Source organism: Homo sapiens, chromosome 7 (genome assembly GCF_000001405.40).
Source record: "Homo sapiens chromosome 7, GRCh38.p14 Primary Assembly".
In the NCBI taxonomy this organism is placed as follows: Eukaryota; Metazoa; Chordata; class Mammalia; order Primates; family Hominidae; genus Homo; species Homo sapiens.
In genome coordinates, this window is record NC_000007.14 from 131,074,637 (window position 1) to 131,094,457 (window position 19,821).

The 19,821-nt window shown below is 40.3% G+C and overlaps 1 long non-coding RNA gene across 10 annotated transcripts in view, besides 3 other annotated features; it reads right to left on the bottom strand.

Moving 5' to 3' along the window:
• Window positions 1-19,821, bottom strand: part of LINC-PINT (long intergenic non-protein coding RNA, p53 induced transcript) — a 232,364-nt gene that overhangs the window by 197,075 nt on the left and 15,468 nt on the right. The window lies entirely within an intron of this gene.
• Window positions 4,242-4,386: an enhancer, noted in NCBI's record as "145 bp 7:130763709 sequence used in MPRA reporter constructs". NCBI's record gives its function as "activates a minimal TATA-containing promoter with rs6966906 allelic activity by MPRAs in C283T melanocytes and UACC903 melanoma cells {active_cell/tissue: C283T | UACC903}" and the evidence as "EXISTENCE:reporter gene assay evidence [ECO:0000049][PMID:36423637]".
• Window position 4,314: a transcriptional cis regulatory region, noted in NCBI's record as "rs6966906 or 7:130763709 MPRA-significant variant associated with a GWAS melanoma risk locus at 7q32.3". NCBI's record gives its function as "allelic transcriptional activity by MPRAs in C283T melanocytes and UACC903 melanoma cells {active_cell/tissue: C283T | UACC903}" and the evidence as "EXISTENCE:reporter gene assay evidence [ECO:0000049][PMID:36423637]".
• Window positions 16,117-16,972: an enhancer, noted in NCBI's record as "OCT4-NANOG-H3K27ac hESC enhancer chr7:130775512-130776367 (GRCh37/hg19 assembly coordinates)". NCBI's record gives its function as "activates a minimal SCP1, AML or CMV promoter by ChIP-STARR-seq in naive H9 embryonic stem cells {active_cell/tissue: H9 hESC(naive)}" and the evidence as "EXISTENCE:reporter gene assay evidence [ECO:0000049][PMID:30033119]".

Consider the following 19,821-nt stretch of genomic DNA (forward strand, 5'->3'; position numbering starts at 1 on the left):
AATCGGGTAACCCCTACACCTCAAACTTATCCCAGTTTTTAGGATTCCAACTACATTACAGGACATGCACCTAACACTATCGTCATACCTTTAGTTCTATTGACTATTCTGGGCTTCCTCCCAAAATGAATAAACTCCAAGTCTCTGCCCCTCCTGGACCTACTTAACTAAGTGGGCCAAATCCAGCCATTTTCTAAGAGATGCCAATTAGAGAATAACGTTACGTAAGGACAGAACACTGTTTAAATAGGGTATCTTTCTGCCAGTCCCCACTAGTAGGTTTCACACTTGGGTTTTGTCACCCTATCTTAATTGAATACATAGTTTTCTCCTGTAAAGACACAATATTTTGCTTTCTCTTATCTGCTAATGAGAGAATCCTACTTGGTACTCCGCAGTGAATAATAGACTTCGAGTTTGTTCAAAAACACCAAAAAATTTACTGCTATGAAAAACAAAAAAATTACTGCTATGTATCCTGGGAATTCAAATGCTATCCATCTGGACTACATTTTACACATAAAAATCTCACAGTATCCAATTATCATGGTAGGTTTAAAGCAGGGGTATCCAATCTTCTGGCTTCCCGGGACCATACTGGAAGAAAAATTGTCTTGGGCCATACATAAAATATACTAACACTAATGATAGCGATTAGCTAACAACAACAACAAAAAATCATACAAAAAAAAAATCTCATAATGTTTTAAGACAGTTTACTAATTTGTGTTGGGCCGCATTCAAAGCTGTCCAGGGCCACATGTGGCCTGCAGGCCACAGGTTGGACAAGCTTGGTTTAAAGTATCAAAAGGCATCTCCCAAGCCTTCCATGATTTTATTTTATTTTCCCTCTGGCTAGCAATTCCTTGGACTCAGTCCTTTCTGTTAGGCTGGTCTACCTCCACTCCTAGACCCAGGCTGAGCACTCTCTCAAACCCCAAGGTAAAAAGAGGAAGTCGTTTTCCATCTGGGTCCCAGATCTAGTCCTTTCAGGTCAAAAGTTTTCTCCTCAGCTGCTGGACTCACCACTTAACCACTCAGGCTTCCCCCTTCCAGAGGCTTCCCTCTCTGTTTTAGTCCATTTTCTGTTGCTTATAGAATACCTGAAACTGGATAACTTATAAAGAAATGAAATTTATTTCTTACAGTTCTGGATACTGGGAAGTCCAAGGTTGAGAGACGGTATCTGGTGAGAGCCTTCTTGCTGGTCGTGAGTCTCTGCAAACTCCGAGGCAGTGCAGGGCATCACATGGCGAGGGGGCTGAGTGTTGCTCTCTCTTTCTCTTCTTACAGAGCCACAAGCCCCACTCCCATGACAACCCATTAATCCACTAACCCGTTAATCCATTAATCCATGAGTGGATTAATCAATTCATGAGGGCAAAGCCCTCATGACCCAATCACCTCTTAAAGATTCTACCTCTCAATACTGCCACACTGGGGATTAAATGTGAACGTGAGTTTTGGAAGGGACAAACATTCCAACCACCGCACTCTCCTTGAGCATATTCTCAGCCTCACTTCTGTACTGTTTAGCATGGATTCTTATTCCTTGCTGAAAGTCAGTTTTCTTCTACAGCTCTGCCCAGCATCACCCACTCATCTGACTCAGCAAGAGTCACACAAATTGCATATTTTAAGAAGATCCTTTGCGGTATCTTGAGCATTCATCTTCCCTTTACATTTGAATAAAACAATAATGCATGGACTTCTGATTACAGTTTAAGCTCCTTGACACTAGGTAGGCAAATGCCCCCTTTTTGTCCATGACTTTTAGGATCAGAAATTTTTCACCACAGACATTAACACAGTTGCCTTTAAATTACGCAGTCTGAGCAAGACAATAGCTTTAAAATAAAGCAGAAGAGATTTTATAGTTTCTAATCACCTGTATACCAAAACACTTAAATGAACCACTGATGGGGCTTGTCAAATTTTTAATTCTGTCAATCTGCAAGGAAAAAGAAAAAAGAAAATGGAGAGAAAACAATTATCCACCCTCGAAGATTTGGTATTATTTGCCTGAGGGAAGATTTTAGGATGTTTTAGAGTCCCTCTGATTTATTGTTCTTTGTTTTCATCATTACATTAGAATGTAATCTGATCCACTCTGATGGTCCCAGAGAACCATGATCCTTTCTTTCCAAAACATCCACTACAAGACTGGACCTGGCTTTTGGTACTCTTCCTTCTTTAAACTCATTCCAAAAAAAGGCTTCAGAGAATGACTTTCTAAAGTCAACACAAACTTCAGACTTTGGGTCTGTCTCACAATTGGTCACAGAGTGCAGATGAAACTCAAAGTCAGTCGTGCTCTCAAAGCAAAACACTGAACAAAGATAAGCCCAGTCTTCAAACAACACGCAAGCCCACTGGCTTACTTCCGTAAAGGGCCCAAGTTACAGAAACGCCTGTTCTGTAAATGGCTTTGGTTACTTTCTCAGGATCATCTGCTCAAACAGTGATATGTCAGTCACTGCTAAGATCTTTAAAGAAAAACATCTTTCACTGGCACAGGATAGAGCATTCAAGAATTCAAAGAAACATTTGTAGATTAAAAAAAAAAAAAAAAAAACCTTCAGCATGGCAAATCTCAGCCTGTGGCTTTTGGCTTCAGATTACTTGCATAATACTTTGTTTTTGTGAGATCCTCAAAAATGAGTGGTTATATATTTTTCATTTTAAAAAGTTTCTTCCTTTCCTATTTGTGATTAGAATAGAAACTGTTTAGTTTAAAAAAAGTATTTTCCTTCAGAAACCTATCCTACAAATCAACGTAGTTCTGTCAACGACCCCAGATAAATATTAAGTTGGACAGACACATCAAACAACATTAAACAAATAACTATGTGAACTGAATTAATTAGTTACACAATTAATTCTCTACTTTTGGCAAATGCTTGATTCTGTTCTTAAAAGGTTAAATACAATATAAGAGCAGTTTAATGTCATGAGGAGCCTTGTATATTTGCTGAACACCAGGAAAACCTTAAAGCACAACTTCATTAAATTCAAAGCAAAGAGATTTGACTCCTTCAGAGTGACATAATTAGAGAAAGGACTAAAGGGAGAACTGAAGGGTCCTAAAAAGAGCATGGCCTTGGGTATTGGGAAGATCAGGATTTGAATCCTGGCTCAGTTATTTGCCAGCTGTGTGGTCTTGCACAAGCTACATAAACTCTCTGAAAATCAGTTTATTCAGCTGTAAAATGAGAAAAATAATGTCACTGCACAGAATTGTTACGGAGATTCAATGAGTTAGATGAAGCACTTAGAACCAATGTGGCACCTGACACATGCTCGACAGGATGTCTGTGATTGACGTGAATTCCCTTCTTCTAATTCCCTTCCCTGTGTAAAACTGATGTGGCAGATCGTAGGACTTTGTAATGGTTGTAAATAGTTGGTTTCTTGAAAAAAAAAAAAAAACTATATTCAAATTATATTTTTAAGATGCTGAAGGAAATCCTGACAGGTTACAACATGGATGAACTTTGAATACGTTGCGCTGAAACAGGCCAGTCACGAAAGGACAAATATTGTATGATTCCTCTTGTATGAGGTTCCCAGAGTAGTCAGAAAGTAGGATGGTGGTTGTCAGCAGATGGAGGAGAGGGAAATGGGGAGTTGTTTAATGGGTACAGAATTTTTTTTTTTTTTTTTTGAGATGGAGTCTCACTCTCGTCCAGACTGGAATGTGGTGGCGTGATCTTGGCTCACTGCAACCTCCACCTCCTGGGTTCAAGCGATTCTCCTGCCTCAGCCTCCTGAGTAGCTGGGATTACAGGTGCGCACCACCACGCCCTGCTAATTTTTATATTTTTAGTAGAGACAGGGTTTCACCATGTTGGTCAGGGTGGTCTTGAACTCCTGACCTCGTGATCTGCCTGCCTTGGCCTCCCAAAGTGCTGGGATTACAGGCGTGAGCCACCACGCCCAGCCAGAGTTTCAATCATGGAAAGTGAAAAGGTTCTGGAGATGTATGGTGGTAATGGTTGCACAACAATGTGAATGTACTTAATGCCAAAAAAACCACTCAAGAATGATTAAATGGTAAAGTTTATGTTATGTATATATTTACCCCCGCTACACACACACATACTGAAAAGTGCTTGGTATTTTTAAAAATCTTACAACAAATTCTTTTGAAAAAGTTTTGTTGTTGTTTTTGTTTGTTTGAGACAGGGTCTCACTCTGTTCCAATGGCTTCGTATTCCTGCTCATCTCAGCTTGACCTCTTGTGGCTATCTCTCCTTTTGAAACTGTTCTTAAATGGCTCTTTTCCCGAGTGTGCCCTTTAAATGTTGGAGTGTCCCAGAGTCCTCTGCATGACCCTCTCTCGTTTTGCTCAGCAAGCTCTCCTTATATAATCTCACCCATTCACACACATGTGAATATGTTTCCGTCTGCTGGTTCTCTCCATTTGGGTGCCCCATTCTAAAATGTCCAGAACCAAACTCAATGTTTCCTTTCTACTCTCCCATTCAATGGCTATAGGTTAAAAAAAGCTTCCTTCTCTATTCTTCCATCCCTCCCACAACTGTTATCTGCAGCTCTGGTATGTCACGCAAATTCCGCCTCCCAAAATCACATGCAACTTAGTCTTCTCTGCCACATCGCCGCTGTCAAGGCCTAATCCAGGCCCTTCCCCGTGCTCACCTGGACTTTGCAGCAGTCTCCTAACTCGTCCATTCTCTTTAGTCTTCCCCTTCCAGTCCATCTTCCACACTGCTGCCAGGCATTTTTCTAAAATGTGAATCTCCGCCATTCCCCTGATTTTAAAACTTCCAGTGGTTCCCTACAGCCAATGGGGCAAAGGCCAGTCATTCAGCATTACACACATGGCCCTCTCCAATCTCATTTCCTGCTGCTTTCCCACTTCCCAACGCCCCTGAACCTTAAGCTCCATTACAACTTCTCAAGAAAATGACAATTCCCACCTCTACAGCGTGGTACATGCTGCTTCTGAAACATGCTCCTTGTTCTTCTCCATTTGGTGGGCAACTGCACGCTCTTGAAGACTCAACTCAAAACGCCAGTCTTCCCAGACCAACCCCCACAGTCCAAATTAATTGAAGCGCCCAGAGCAGTTTGTGCAGGAGGTTGCAACGCTTAGCACGCAGCACTGCATTTACCTGTTTCTTGCTTCCAAGTCATCCCTGAAACCTTCTGTGTGGAGCAGCACAGGACCAGAAGACCTGCCTCACTCAGTTTGCAGTCACCCCTAGATGCTTCATGGCTTGTGTGGTCTACCTCTCTAGTCACACGTCTCCCAATCCTCAATGCTCAGGGACTCCACTGCCACACTGATGGACCACCATGGTCCAAGCACGTCCACTACAAGGCTTGGGGAAATCTTTCATTCGTTCACTCGACTCACATTTATTACACGTGGAGCTACACGGATGAGACTTGGCTCCTCCCTCAGAGAAGCGAAAACAAACACACAAACAGACACGAATAACACAGGTTGTAGAAACCTACACACAGAGTGATTCCCAGGACATTCTGGAGATGGAGCACACAGTAGGACAATGTGCCCGGCAAGTGTGGGGCCCTGGAAATGGAAGAGACACTCGGTGGAAGCTTCTAGGACCCACAAGGTTTGAAGTGAGACTCAGAGAACATAGAGAGAAAGAGGAGGGAATAGGACGAGTGGGAAACAGGAAATGGAAAATGTATCAATTAACCAGATTAACTTTTTGTCAACTGCTCAAGTACAAGAGTAAGAACCATGACAGAATCTCCAAATATATCCAGATCTTTTTTTTTTTTTAATTGATACAGGGTCTCTGTCACCTAGACTGTAGTGCAGTGGCAAAATCATAGCTCACTGCAGCCTCGACCCCCCGGGCCCAAGCGATCTTCCCACCTCAGCCTCCTGAGTAGCTGGGTCCACACCCAGCTAATTTTTGTATTTTTTGTAGAGACAGCATTTCGCCATGTTGCCCAGGCTGGTCTCGAACTCCTGGGCTCAAGCAATCCACCTGCTCTCAGCCTCCCAAAGTGCTGGGATTACAGGTGTAAGTCACCGCACCTGGCCCTAGATCTTTAACAGTAAAAGTAAACAACACAGTGATCTCTGGAGACATATACATTATCACTCCCTTTCTTTTCTGTCTCCCTCTCTCACACCCACAGACACACAGAAAAAGCTTAATGTCTATGTAATGAATACCTAATGGCAGTACTGACACAGTCAGAGCCTCTGCCCCCTCCAGTCACTTACGATCTGTGCCATCCACGGTGAAGGCACCCAGGTGTCCCTCCCTTCTGCTATTCCTTCTCACCATCCCCTGGCCCTTTTGTCTCTTCTGTGCTCACCTCCCACGCACACTGCAAAACGAGGCTACATCATCAGAGGCTGCCCTATTTATTCAAAGATGATGTTACTGAGAACAATCATATCTTTTTGTTCTAAAACGAACTTATCAACAATAGTTCTTTTTTCACAGCATAAAGACTACTCTTAATTTGGAACCATAGTTATTAATGCTATTGTAATTTAGTTTAAGTCTTAAATGGACCCAACATTTCTTCTTAAAAGGAAAACAACCCTATCAGGAATAATAATAATAATATAATCATCGTCACATCATGTTACAGAGAAAACTCGCATTTAATTTCTGGGTTTGTCAGTGTTTTACTACACAATTCTTTGGTCCACTTAACCTCAAATCCTTACACAAATCTGTGTTATGTCACATAAAGACATTTTAAAATTATTTTCATGTTTTGGCTCCATCTTATTGATAATTATTTCACTAATTTGAAAACAGATTAAATCTATGTACAGATACAGAACATAAAATAATACTAAATAAGGCCAGGCATGGTGGCTCATGCCTGTAATCCCAGATCTTTGGGAGGCTGAGGCGAGAGGGTAACTTGAGGCCAGGGATTCAAGACCAGCCTGGGCAACACAGCAAGACCCCATCTCTACAAAAAATTAAAATTAAAATTAAAAAACCAAGAATCTTTCAATTTAGTATTTACATTTGCTGGTTGCAATTTTAATTATATTTCTTATATATCAATTGCATCCCTGCAAGTTCAGTTAACAAAGCATATGAATAATAGAATCATGCTTGAAGTTGGGAGGTAAGGGAGAAGAATAGGTCTTTGTACTGGATCATGATCTTAAATGCTTACTGACCAGGAAGAAGGGAAAGGGAGGGAAATGAGTGGGGCTAGGGGAGAGCACACATGATAGTTAAAAGCAATATGTAAAGTAAAAAAATAATAAAGTAAGTTGATTTCCAATGCAGTTAAAAGAATCCCTGAAAATGAGTGAGGTAAAATCCTCCTCCATTGCCCTCAATCCAAGAGCTGAGTGGAAGTGCCATTCCAGGGAGGCTTGGGGGTACTATCAGGAGGCAGAAAGATGTAAGATCTCAAAATATGAGTGGTGAATGGTATACCAGCCCCTCATCCTCCCACCTCTAGCACTTTGTAAAAAGTTAATCATCGAATTAAATGTTATAATCCAATTTCCAAAATTGCTCTACTCCACTTAAACTGCTGTCACCTATAATAACCTTGCAAGCAAATGCATTCATTTCAAACATCATTCTCTGCGAATTCTGCAACATCTGAAGCTCTTGATCACTCTGCTTTTTTTGCTCCTGCAGGAACTCAACTGGCTCTTCTTTCTCTCTAATGCAACAGATCCAGCTCCCCTTCCTAATCATATCCCAAACCATGGCTTTCCCCAAAGTCACTGCTCTGATTTTCTCTACATACTCAGTCATTGAAACCTCAACCATCACAGGGAAGGGATTCTGCTGCCTCCCTTCCATGTGTCCTACCTCTGCCCTCTCACTGCCCCCAACTAAATCCATCACTTGACTGCTAGATCGCAGCACTACGATCCACCTCTGTTTCTCCCTTTCTTCCATTCATCTTTGACATTACTACCAGATTAATCTTTGTCTGGATCCCAGACTTTTTTTCCTTTTCAAAATTACACCATCACTCCTCTTTAGGACAGTGTGGTGGTTGTAAAATCTGTTCCCAGATTCTCTGACACACCTCTTTTTAAAAGGTGAAACCTAGCTCCCCTTCCCTTGAATGTGGGCGGAATTTACTGGCTTGTGTCTAAGGAACAGAACATGGCGAGAGTGATGGGGGATGATTTCCAAGGCGTGGTCAAAAAGGGCACTGAAGCTTCTGTCTTGTTTTCTTGCGTCGCTCGATCTGGGGAGTGCAGCTGCCATGTCATAAGGACACTCAACCCTGTGAAGAGTCCCACATAGAGGAGGAATTGAGGCCTCCCACCAACAACCAACACCAACTTGCCAGCCATTTGAGTACACCATCTTGGAAGAGGATCCTCCAGCCCCAGTAAAGCCTTAAGATGACTGAAGACTGGCTAACATCTATTTAAAAATTATTATTTATTTTTTTAATAGAGATGGGGTCTCGCTATGTTGCCCAAGCTGGTCTCAAACTCCTAGGCTCGAGCAATCCTCCTGCCTCAGCCTCCCAAAGTGCTGGAACTAGAGGCATGAGCCTCCATGCCCAGCCCTGACTAACATCTTGACTTCACTGCAAGAGACCCCAAGCCTGAACACTGTTAATGTGATCCCAAATCTCTGACGTACAAAAATTGTTAGAGATAATAAATGTTGATTGATGTTTTAAGCCAATAAATTTGGGGATAATTTGTTACACTGCAATAGATTAGTAGTTCAGAAGGCCTCTGCTGCCAGTGTGACAAATCCAAATGCTTTCTTTGGGCACTCGAGGTTGTCCAATAACTGCTCTTACTTTATCTTTGGGTACAGAAACACCATCTGAGCCAGTTATTTCACTGACCTCACACGACATGTGAAACTCTGCCTCTACTTTAGCCCATGCCATTGTCACACAGAATGTCCTTTTTGGTCCTCTCCACTAAACTAAATTCAACACTTTCTTCTAGGCTCAATTCAAGGAAGTGAATTAAATACCTACACAGGAATTTTTTATAGTTTTTAATGTACATAAATAAACATGTCTGATTTCCAAAACTATGTTTTAGTTATTTAAGATAGAAATTATGACTTATGCTACCCTCACATTCCCCCATACTAATAGATACACAGAGATAACTTATCATGGATCCATTTTTTAAAATGAAATAGATCAACATGTACTGACCTGTTCAGCTATATATGATACATTAAATGGAAACAAAGCAAGTTGCACAAAGAAAATTGAGTGCTTAAGAATAAATTTTAAAAGAAATGTATAAAACACATCTGAGGAAAACTTTAAAGCATTCTTAAAAAGACACAAATGAAGAGTTTAACCACAGACATCTCTTATATTCAGATAGAACAAGTTAACATAAAAATGTCAGTTCATCATAAATTTAGAAATTTAATGTAATCCTCATAAATAAACCAAGTTTTTTTAATGGAGACATACAATTGATACTGAGCCTTGTATTGAAAAATAAATGTGCAGTAACAGCCAGGAAAACACTAACACACTAGAGGGAAGGCCGAGTTCTTCCAGACATTAAATCACAGTCTAAAGCCTCCATGATGAAAAGTGTCTTACTGACACATGAATAGACAGACAAACCAACAGAATAATACAGAAAGTTCAAAAACAGATCCAAGTGCAGATGAAGTTTTAGTATTGTATATTATTAAGGTGGCATCTAAAATCACCAAGGCAAAAACTATTTAATAAATGATGTTTGATATGGTTTGGCTGTGTCCCCACCCAAATCTCATCTTGAATTGTAGTTCCCATAATCCTCACGTGTCATGAAAAGGACCCAGTAGGAGGTAATTTAATCATGCAGGTGGTTACCCTCTTACTGTTCTTGTGATAGTGAGTTCTCATGAGATCTGATGGTTTTATAAGGGGCTGTTCTCCCATTTGTTTGGCACATCTCCATGATGCTGTCATGGGAAAAAGGACATGTTTGCTTCCTCTTCTGCCATGACTGTTAAGTTTCCTGAGGCCTCCCCAGCCATGCTGAACTGTGAGTCAATTAAACAACTTTTCTTTATAAATTACCCAGTCAAGGGGATGTCTTCATAGCAGCATGAAAATGGATTAATACAATGTTAAAATAATTGGCTAGCCACTGGAAAACCTCATTTGGAAAACCTCATACCATAAACCAAAATAAACTCCAAACGAATCAGGGATCTAAATAAAGCAATGAAGCCATACTACCACTAGAAGGGGGAAAAAAGGTGAATTCTCTAACCTTGATGTAGGAAAGGGTTTGCTAACTACAACTCAAAATTGGGAAGACTGAAAGATTGATCGATTTGACTACATAATTTTTTTTTAATTTCTGTATGGCCAAAAATACTCCATTGTAAACATAAGGCAATAGATAAAATGGGAGAAAATATTTGCATCATATCACAGATAAAGGAGTAATAACCATAATACATAAAGAACTCTTAAAGACAGAAACAACAGAAAAATGGGTAAAGGACATGGGAAAATACATACACACACATATATATTCACATATACTCATATACACAGACACACACACACATATATATCTCTTAGATATATTAAAGATGTTCAGTTCCACTCACAGTGGAAGAAATACAAATTTAAATTACATTGAGATGCTATTTCTCAACTATCGAATTGGCAAAAATTTTTTTTAAAAAAAGTCACTCTTGGCTAGGCTATGGAGAAACAGACACTCTCATACAGAGTTTCTTGGAGAACCGGCTGATTCTAGGGCTGAGGCAGAGAAGGTACGCAATGAGAAACATTCTACATGCACAAGAAAGAATATGTTCAAAGAACAATGGAGATGTGTCAAAAGACACAGGAGGCAGCTTGAAGAAACTCCTACTGGCCAAATCTGGGATAATTTAAGCATCAAAATACATAATGATAACACATTAAGACTAATATAAGAATCCATGAATATGCACTGAAATAAATGAGAGTGAAGAGAAAGCTCTTTTTGAGGGAAGAAAGTCAACTATAAATAAATGAAGAAGAAATGATGGACTTTTAAAAATCACCATTAGGAAAGAATAAATGATTCACACAAGCATCAATAGATTTTAAAAGCCTAGGGTTAAAGGTGTGAGGAGTAACAGGACATTAACGAAATCTAAAAATATCATTCCATAAGACAATTATTATTGGAAATAAGGGAGAGAGTAACTTTCCTGAGAAAAACCAGAGAAACCGGAAAATCTGACAGAAACCTGACCTTAACCAAGGGATCCAAGTTAATATCACCAATGGTGAGACAAATAGATATCAGGTGCCTCTGAATATGATGCACTGAGAAGAACGCAGTGTCCCTAATGTAGCATTTCTACGGAAAGCACAAAACCTCAATACCGGCATGAGGAAACAACAAACCACTGTTGAAAGACACTATGTAATATTGCCTAGTTCTCTCCGAAAATGTCAAGGTCACAAAACATAGAAAGACTGAGAAGCTGTTCCAGGTTAACTAAATGTAACATATGATCTGGAAATTTCTTACTATAAAGATATTTTGGGGATAACTGACAGAATCTGAATAAGGTCTACAGTTAGATAATATTATGGTATCAGTGTTAATATCCCAATTTTATTTATTTATTTATTTATTTATTTATTTATTTATTTATTTATTTTTTGAGACCGAGTTTTGCTCTTGTTGCCCAGGCTGGAGTGCAATGGCACGATCTCGGCCCACTGCAACCTCTGCCTCCCAGGCTGAAGCAATTCTCCTGCCTCAGCCTCCCTAGTAGCTGGGATTACAGGTGCGTGCCACCACACCCAGCTGATTTTTATATTTTTAGTAAAGACGGGGTTTCACCATGTTGGCCAGGCTAGTCACGAACTCCTGACCTCAGGTGATCCACCCGCCTCGACCTCCCAAAGTGCTGGGATTACAGGCATAAGCCACCATGCCCGACCTATTTATTTATTTTTTGAGACAGAGTCTTGCTCTGTCGCCCAGGCTGGAGTGAAGTGGCGCAATCTCGGTTCACTGCAACCTCTGCCTCCTGGGTTCAAGTGATTCTCCTGTCTCAGCCTCTCAAGTAGCTGGGATTACAGGCGCACGCCAACATATCCAGCTAATTTTTGTATTTTAGTAGAGACGGGGTTTTGCCATGTTGCCCAGGCTGGTCTCGAGCTCCTAACCTCAGGTGATCCGCCTGCCTCAGCCTCTCAAAGTGCTGGGATTTCAGGCGTGAGCCACCGCGTCTGGCCAATATCCCGATTTTGAAAAAAAAAAAAAATTCAGCAAGAAGAGGAAAAAAAATTAAATTGCATTTACAAGCTATTGTCTAAAAAATATATTTACATACTATATATCTTTAATAATATATGCAAATGTATAGACATGACTTTTCTAAACACAAAGTAAAGGTGAAAAGCATAATTGGTAATGGTGATAAACTATTCCTAAGTAAAGCGGTTGGGGTGTGTTTTGGCAGAGGCAAATAGGACTGACAGTAAAACAAAATTTTTACAGCCTAATTTTATAATTACCAAATGAGGGTGGTGATATTATGGGATGTTACTATCTTCTAGTATTTTTCAATATTTTTTAAGTGCAAAATAGTCATTTATGAAAAATGTTGCTTTTATTCAAGACAGATCTTGGAATCAACTGAATTCACTTAACAACATTCATAAATGACCTTAATTCCATACTAATATTCTCATGTTAACACCAGCTGTTAGAGTAAATACAGGAACATATGAAATTATTTCTCTTTATGTAATACAATAAAGAGAGAATACAATCTGTAGAGACTGCACACATTCTCCAAGAAACAAGTTTACAAGTGTTCACAGCACTGTTCACAATGCAAAAATCATGAAACCCAAACATCAGCCAACAGCAGAATGGAGAAATTGGCATATTCATACTATGAAACTATGGCATATTCATACAACGGAAAGCTAAACAGCAATGAAAATTAATCACCTAGAGCTACATGTATCAACACTGTTAAAATATCAAAATCCTAACGTTGAGTGAAATGAGAGGTACAGAACAATACATCCAGTATGATTCTGCTACATAAAGATAAAAAACAGGTGAAACCAAACATTGTTCAGAAATGTGTGGGTGTGTAACTATATATATATATATATTTGTTTTTTTTTGAGACAGGGGGTCATTCTGTCACCCAGACTGGAGTGCAGTGGCTCAATGACAGCTCACTGCAGCCTCAACCTACAGGGTTCAAGCAATTCTCCCACTTCAGCCTCCCAAGTAGCTAGGACTGCAGACATTCACCACCATGTCTGACTAATTTTTTAATTTTGTAAAGATAGGGTCTCGTCATGTTGCCCAGGCTAGTCTTGAACTCTTGGGCTCAAACAATCCTCCTGCCTCAGCCTCCCAAAGTGCTGGGATTACAGGCATGAACCAAAGCACCCAGCCTGGGCTCCATTTTTTTAGACAGGATAGCCCCGGAAGGGAGAGAGTTCTCTGTCAAATCCACATGGCTTGACAGACAACTTGAAAATATCCAGTTCTTTCCCATCTTATTTCTATGCTCACCAACAAAATTCTGATCCAAGTTTTATCCTTTCAATAAGTCTACAGCTGGCTACAGCACATCTTCCACTGCCAACTAATACACTGGAGAATTGAATCTCATGTAAGCTTGCTTGGCTTGGATAGCTTTACTCAGTCTCACAATCTCCATCCACCCTAAATGAATTGATAAAATCAAATTTCTTCACCTGCAAAGTCACACCTGGGAATCCTGATCAAACGGTGCGGAGTTCCTCTCTTCCTGAAGTCCTGCCTGACAGGAATGTAACCGTCACTGCTGGAATGTTAACTTTCCAGAAGCATCTATCAAGGGAAGACCATCTGTCTCCATTAACCACAAGATGCCTACTAAACCCGGGGAGCAATTCAACACTCACTAATTAACAAACACTGGCCTTCAAGAGAAGAGGCTCTAAGTACCAATCGATAATTTCGTGTTAATCATTAACAAAATAGAAAATAAACTGTGGCTGAGTTAACTCCAAAATTAATTTTAACCTTTCATGTAACATCTCAAAACACTGAGAAAAAGTAATTTTAAAGGGTAGCTATCACAGAAGTTCATCATATAATTATATAAAAATTATCACACAAAATAATCAAACTGCTATCAAATAGACATAACTTACTAATAACAGATTTCTAGCATTTACTCAATAAGGCTTTACTTTAACCTTCACATAATCTTCAGTAAAATCTAAGAACCTGTCTTTTAAAAAATAATTATTAGGCATTAGAAACATTATGATTTTTTAATTGAACAAATAGGCAGACATTATTTCTAAATGTTCATTTTCTCTCAGCAGCTTTTTTAACACACCATCTTTTGTCCTCAAAAATAGTATGAATAGGCCAAGCATGTTGGCTCACTCCTATAATCCCAGCACTTTGGGAGGCCAAGGCAGGCAGATAACATTTGAGGTCAAGAGTTTGAGACCAGCCTGGCCAACCTTGCAAAGCCCTGTCTCTACTATTACAAAAATAAAAAAAATTAGCTGGGCGAGGTGGTGCACGCCTGTAATCCCAGCTACTCTGGAGGCTGAGGCACGAGAATCACTTGAATCTGGAAGGCGGAGGCTGCAGTGAGCCAAGATTGCGCCACTGCACTCCAGCCTGGGCAACAGAGCAAGACCCTGTCTCAAAAAAAAAAAAAAAAAATAGTATTAATACATCAACAAGGCAAAGTCCAAATCCCAGTCATACTTCTGGGATTTGGACATAATGTACAGAAGTACATTCTGTACTTCTACTACACCTTCCTTTGTGCTCTCCCTTGTGAAATTCCCATACTTCCTGGATATCAGATTCCCATCAAGCCCCCCCTACTCTCCCCACTAGCAGCTCCTGAAAAACTACCTTCTTACACCATGAGTATCTCAGTCCATTAAGTGGCACAAATAGCAAATTTCCCTTTGTCACGGACTGAAGGCTTGTGTCTCCCCAGAATTCATATGCTGAAACCCTACTCCCTGATGATAGGATTAGGAGGTAGGGTCTTTGGGAGGTAATTAGGGTTAGATGAGGTCATGAGGATAGAGACCTCATGAATGAGACTAGTGTCCTCATAAGGGTCCAGAGAGCTTGCTTCTTCTCTCCACCACGTGAGGACCCAGGGAGAAGGCGCCATCTATGAACCAGGAAGCTGACTCTCACCAAATACTGAATCTGCCAGCACCTTGATCTTGGATTTCCCAGCCTCCAGAGCTGTGAGAAATAAATGTCTGTTGTTTATAACCCAACCAGTCTACAACAGTTTGTTACAACAGCTCTAATGGACTAAAACACCCTTCAAAACTGAAATAATAAAATTTTTTCTCCATTGTCTGTGCCTCACGTCTCATTCTCCAAATCTCTTTAGGCTGTAAAGAGAAGTATGCTCCTACACGTTACAGAGCTAATAATGGTAACAACAAAAGCCTATGCGTGCTTCTTTACCATTTATTTCTGAATAAGTAATATATTCACATAGTTCAAAATGCAAAATAGAACATAAAAGGTAACAAGGAATATTCAGAGAAAAGTCCACCTGTCCCCCAGCTACCTGATGCCTTATCTCAAAGGCATGGAATATTATGGTTCTTTTTCTATCCTTCCAGAGTTATTATATCTATATATATGCAAATGTTTATAAATTCTCTTTTTTTACATTCTTCTATGCCTTGTTTCTACTCAGGATTTTATTGTATAGCAGATCAGAATACAATGAGCTTCCTCTTTCTATTTTATGGCTACATATGACTCTTCAAATATGTGTAAACCAGTTTCTGTGGCTCTAGCCTCGCCACACCAATTTATTCAATACTCGTGGTCCCAAGACAATAAACACACCTTCATGTTTAAATATTTTTTATATATTAAGCCAGGTTATTGCATCAGTGCTAGACTCTGTGGGTGTGACAACTGTTTTGCAGGTATATACAGAAAACAGTCCTCCTTAGCATGTATTTAGAGGTGAAATGTCATGATGTCTGCAACTTACATTCAAATGATGAGGCAAAATAATACAAATATGCATACTTACCACATATGGTTCAAAATATACACACACTTGGAACAAGCCAGCAAGTACAGCAAAATGTTAACTAGTGAATACAGAAGCAGGGTATACAGGTGCTCACAGTACTATTTTTTTAAGCGTGAAATTTTCAAAATATTATAAAAAGCTAGGGCAAAAAGGCTGTATTATTTCCAGGGGTCTCCCTCATTTGCCACTGTGAAAGAAAAATAAAATCTCAGGACCCCAAACTCACTATGCCAGAGGGAAAGTTAAGCCTGGAAACTGAATCACGAAAAAACTGCCTTACTTTTGTTCCCAAACAGCTGTAATTTCACATGCTTACTTTATCTTACGTAAAATGTAGATTTACTGAGCACAAGACGAATGCATAATTGACTTTTTCCCCCACTCCTTTCTTTTCACATGTAAAAATGTAGATTCACTGAGCAGTACTAATCAGAGCCTCCCAAGAATGTAACCACTTGCCTCATTGCCTACCCACTCTCCCTTTTTTTTCTTCCCCTCCTGCTTTCTCTTTCCACTTTAAATATTGAAGTTCCCAAAATCCTCTTCAGAAAAAGCACAAGACACAGGTCCTCCTGTGACTTGTGTTTCTTTTTCGGGGGTGCATCCTCAACCTTGGCAAAATAAACCTCTAAACTGATTGAGATCTGCCTCTGTCACTGTTTGGTTTACACTTTAAAACCTACAGTGGTTCTTTCCCAACTCCCAAGCCTATGTCCTAACCTAGCCCAACCACTTCCCTTGCATTCTCCCAAAAGAAAATTAAAATGAGTTCTTTTTAGCTATTCTTAACTACTGGTCCTTCAAACTGCTCAGATTCCATGGCTCCCTAGAGTCTTCCCCTACTGCTTTGTCCCTTCTCCCTTCTCAACTAGAGCACTCTATGCGCGTACTCATTTACTTCACCTCACCATTTCATGGCCTAAGTACTGGGAACCCAGCTAGAGAGGAAGCACCTACAGCAAAAAGCCCTATATGAACAATTCTTTTGTAATTCCCACAGCACCTAACTCGTGCTATGCACATAATAGGTATTAAAAAAGTGTTCACTGAAAGAATGGTTTGTTGTTTTGTTTTGAGACAGGGTCTTACTCTGTCACCCAGACTAGAGTGCAGTGGCATGATCACAGGTCACTGTAGCCCTGGCCTCCCAAGCCCAAGTGATCCTCCTGCCTCAACCTCCCTGAGTATCTGGGATCACAGGCACAGGTCACCACACCTGGGTAAAGGCAAACTCTCACTATGTCGCCCAGGCTAGTCTCAAACTCCTGGACTCAAGCAATCTTCCTGCCTCAGCCTCCCAAAGTGCTGGGATTACAGGCGTAAGCCACCACGCCCGGCCTAGAATGGGCTTTTTTAAAACAATTAAGGGCATGGGAACTACTGCTAGGCAATGGGGGAAAGGTCTCAAAGCTCACTGGCAGAGTCTTCTGAAAAAAACCTCCAGTCTTTCAGCTTTTCTTCAATACTTTAAACTCACCTTTCCTATCCTTCCACATTGTTACAACTGTCTTCTCTCTGACACAAACAATGCCAGATTATCCTACTAAGAATGGAAAAACCTGTTCCACAACCATAAATAAAGCAACTCTAGAAGTTGGAGCAGCAAAATTCTCTTAAATTTTACTTACATGATGAGATTACTCTTGAAGACTGTAAGAAAGTGTAAACCACTTGAAAAGAGTACCTCTGAATAACGTGTCCATGGACTATTCCTGCAGTTTGAAACTAGGGAAGAACTGCCTTTTAAAGTGTTTTAACTTCAGTTAATCAAGACAATGCTAGAGACATCTGAATACAGAAGCAACTAGCATCTTGACTCAGACAGCCTGTGTCTAACAACAACACGTGTTGAAAAGTTGATTCACTAACAAGAAAAAAACAGGAATGCTACTAAAAAATAGGGGTACTACTTAAAGTGAAATTGCAAGAACCTACAATAAGAAGAATTGAAACCTATTTCATTTTTTTTCACCTGATTGGAATTCAGAAGGACCTAAAAATACAACCCTCCGAAAATTAAGATCCAAAGAGGTTAAACACACCTAATCCAATATCTCGTAACTCAGAAGTTAAAGTCAAAGCTTGCTTGAGAACTCAAATATAATGGTCTTCTCATGCTATTCTGTCCACTTCACTTCTAAATTTCCTAACCTTATCTTCTGCCCAAAAAGCACAGTGGACAGGGAGGTGGAAGACCTAACTGTGGTCCGCTATGCTGTGAACCAGGTGTGTAAGTTTAAGTAAATTGTCTCATTTATAAAATGAGAAGATTGAACTCAATGTGCTCCCAAGGCCCTTACAGCTAGAATATACTGTGCTCCTTCAGAGTGGCATAGGTCACAGTTGCTATTTAACACAAATTTGACTCTACCACATTTTTTACATACCAAACTCTGTTATAATTTAAGAAATTTAAAAATACTACTTTAACCCAAACAATATCTTTGTTTACCAAAAATTTCCATACGTAGAAAGGACCCTGAAATTCTATATGGTTATTTATTACCAAAATTTAGGCAAACTGTTCTTTAAACTTCAATCTGAAACCTATTTGAATGCCTAGTTAAATCTGAAAGTCTAAACACCTATCTGAAACCTATTTGAATGCCTATTTAAATCTGAAAATTTAAACATCAATCTGAAACCTATTTGAATGCCCATTTAAATATCAAAAACAGCTTGAGAAGTGATACATTTCACATATCTTTTCCATTCAACCTGAAATATGCTATATAAACATATTAAACTCTTCAGAAATAATTTGCACTGGCTGGGTGTGGTGGCTCACGCCTGTCATTCCAGCAATTTGGGAGGCCGACGTGGGTGGACCATCCGGGAGGTTAGAAGTTCGAGAGACCAGCCTGGCCAACTTGGTGAAACCCCGTCTTTACTAAAAATATAAAATTAGCCGGGTGTGGTGGTGCATGCCTGTAATACCAGCTACTTGGGAGGCTGAGGCAGGAGAATTGCTTGAACCCAGGAGGTGGAGACTGCAGTGAACCGAGATCATCCCACTGCATTCCAGCCTGGGCAACAAGAGTGAAACTCCGGGCCAGGCACAGTGGCTCACACCTGTCATCCCAGCACTATGGGAGGCTGAGGTGGGTGGATCACCTGAGGTTAGAAGTTCAAGAGACCAGCCTGGCCAACATGGTAAAACCCCATCTCTACTAAAAATACAAAATTAGCCAGGTGTGGTGGTGCATGCCTGTAATACCAGCTACTTGGGAGGCTGAGGCAGAAGAATTGCTTGAACCCAGGAGGTGGAGGTTGCAGTAAACCAGGGTTATCCCACTGCATTCCAGTCTGGGCAACAAGAGTGAAACTCCAGGCCGAGCACGGTGGCTCATGCCTGTAATGCCAGCACTTTGGGAGGCCAAGGCGGGTGGATCACCTGAGGTCAGGAGTTCGAGACCAGCCTGGCCAACATGGTGAAACCCCGTCTCTACTAAAAATATAAAACTAGCTGGGTGTGGTGGTGTATGCCTGTAATACCAGCTACTTGGGAGGCTGAGGCAGAAGAACTGCTTGAACCCAGGAGGCAGAGGTTGCAGTGAGCCAAGATCATCCTACTGCATTCCAGCCTGGGCCACAAGAGTGAAACTCTGTCTCAAAAAACAAACAAACAAACAAACAAATAAATAATTTGCACCAGCATGCGATTTTACAGACCATAATATCAGAGTAAAATTTGTCTTTAGTTCTGGACTGCCATTAATCAGGCTAAAAAAAATGCCTATGGTAAGTGTAGGATGTTTCCTAGGCTATCCATATAAGGAATGGAAGAAGGTAAAAGGAAAAA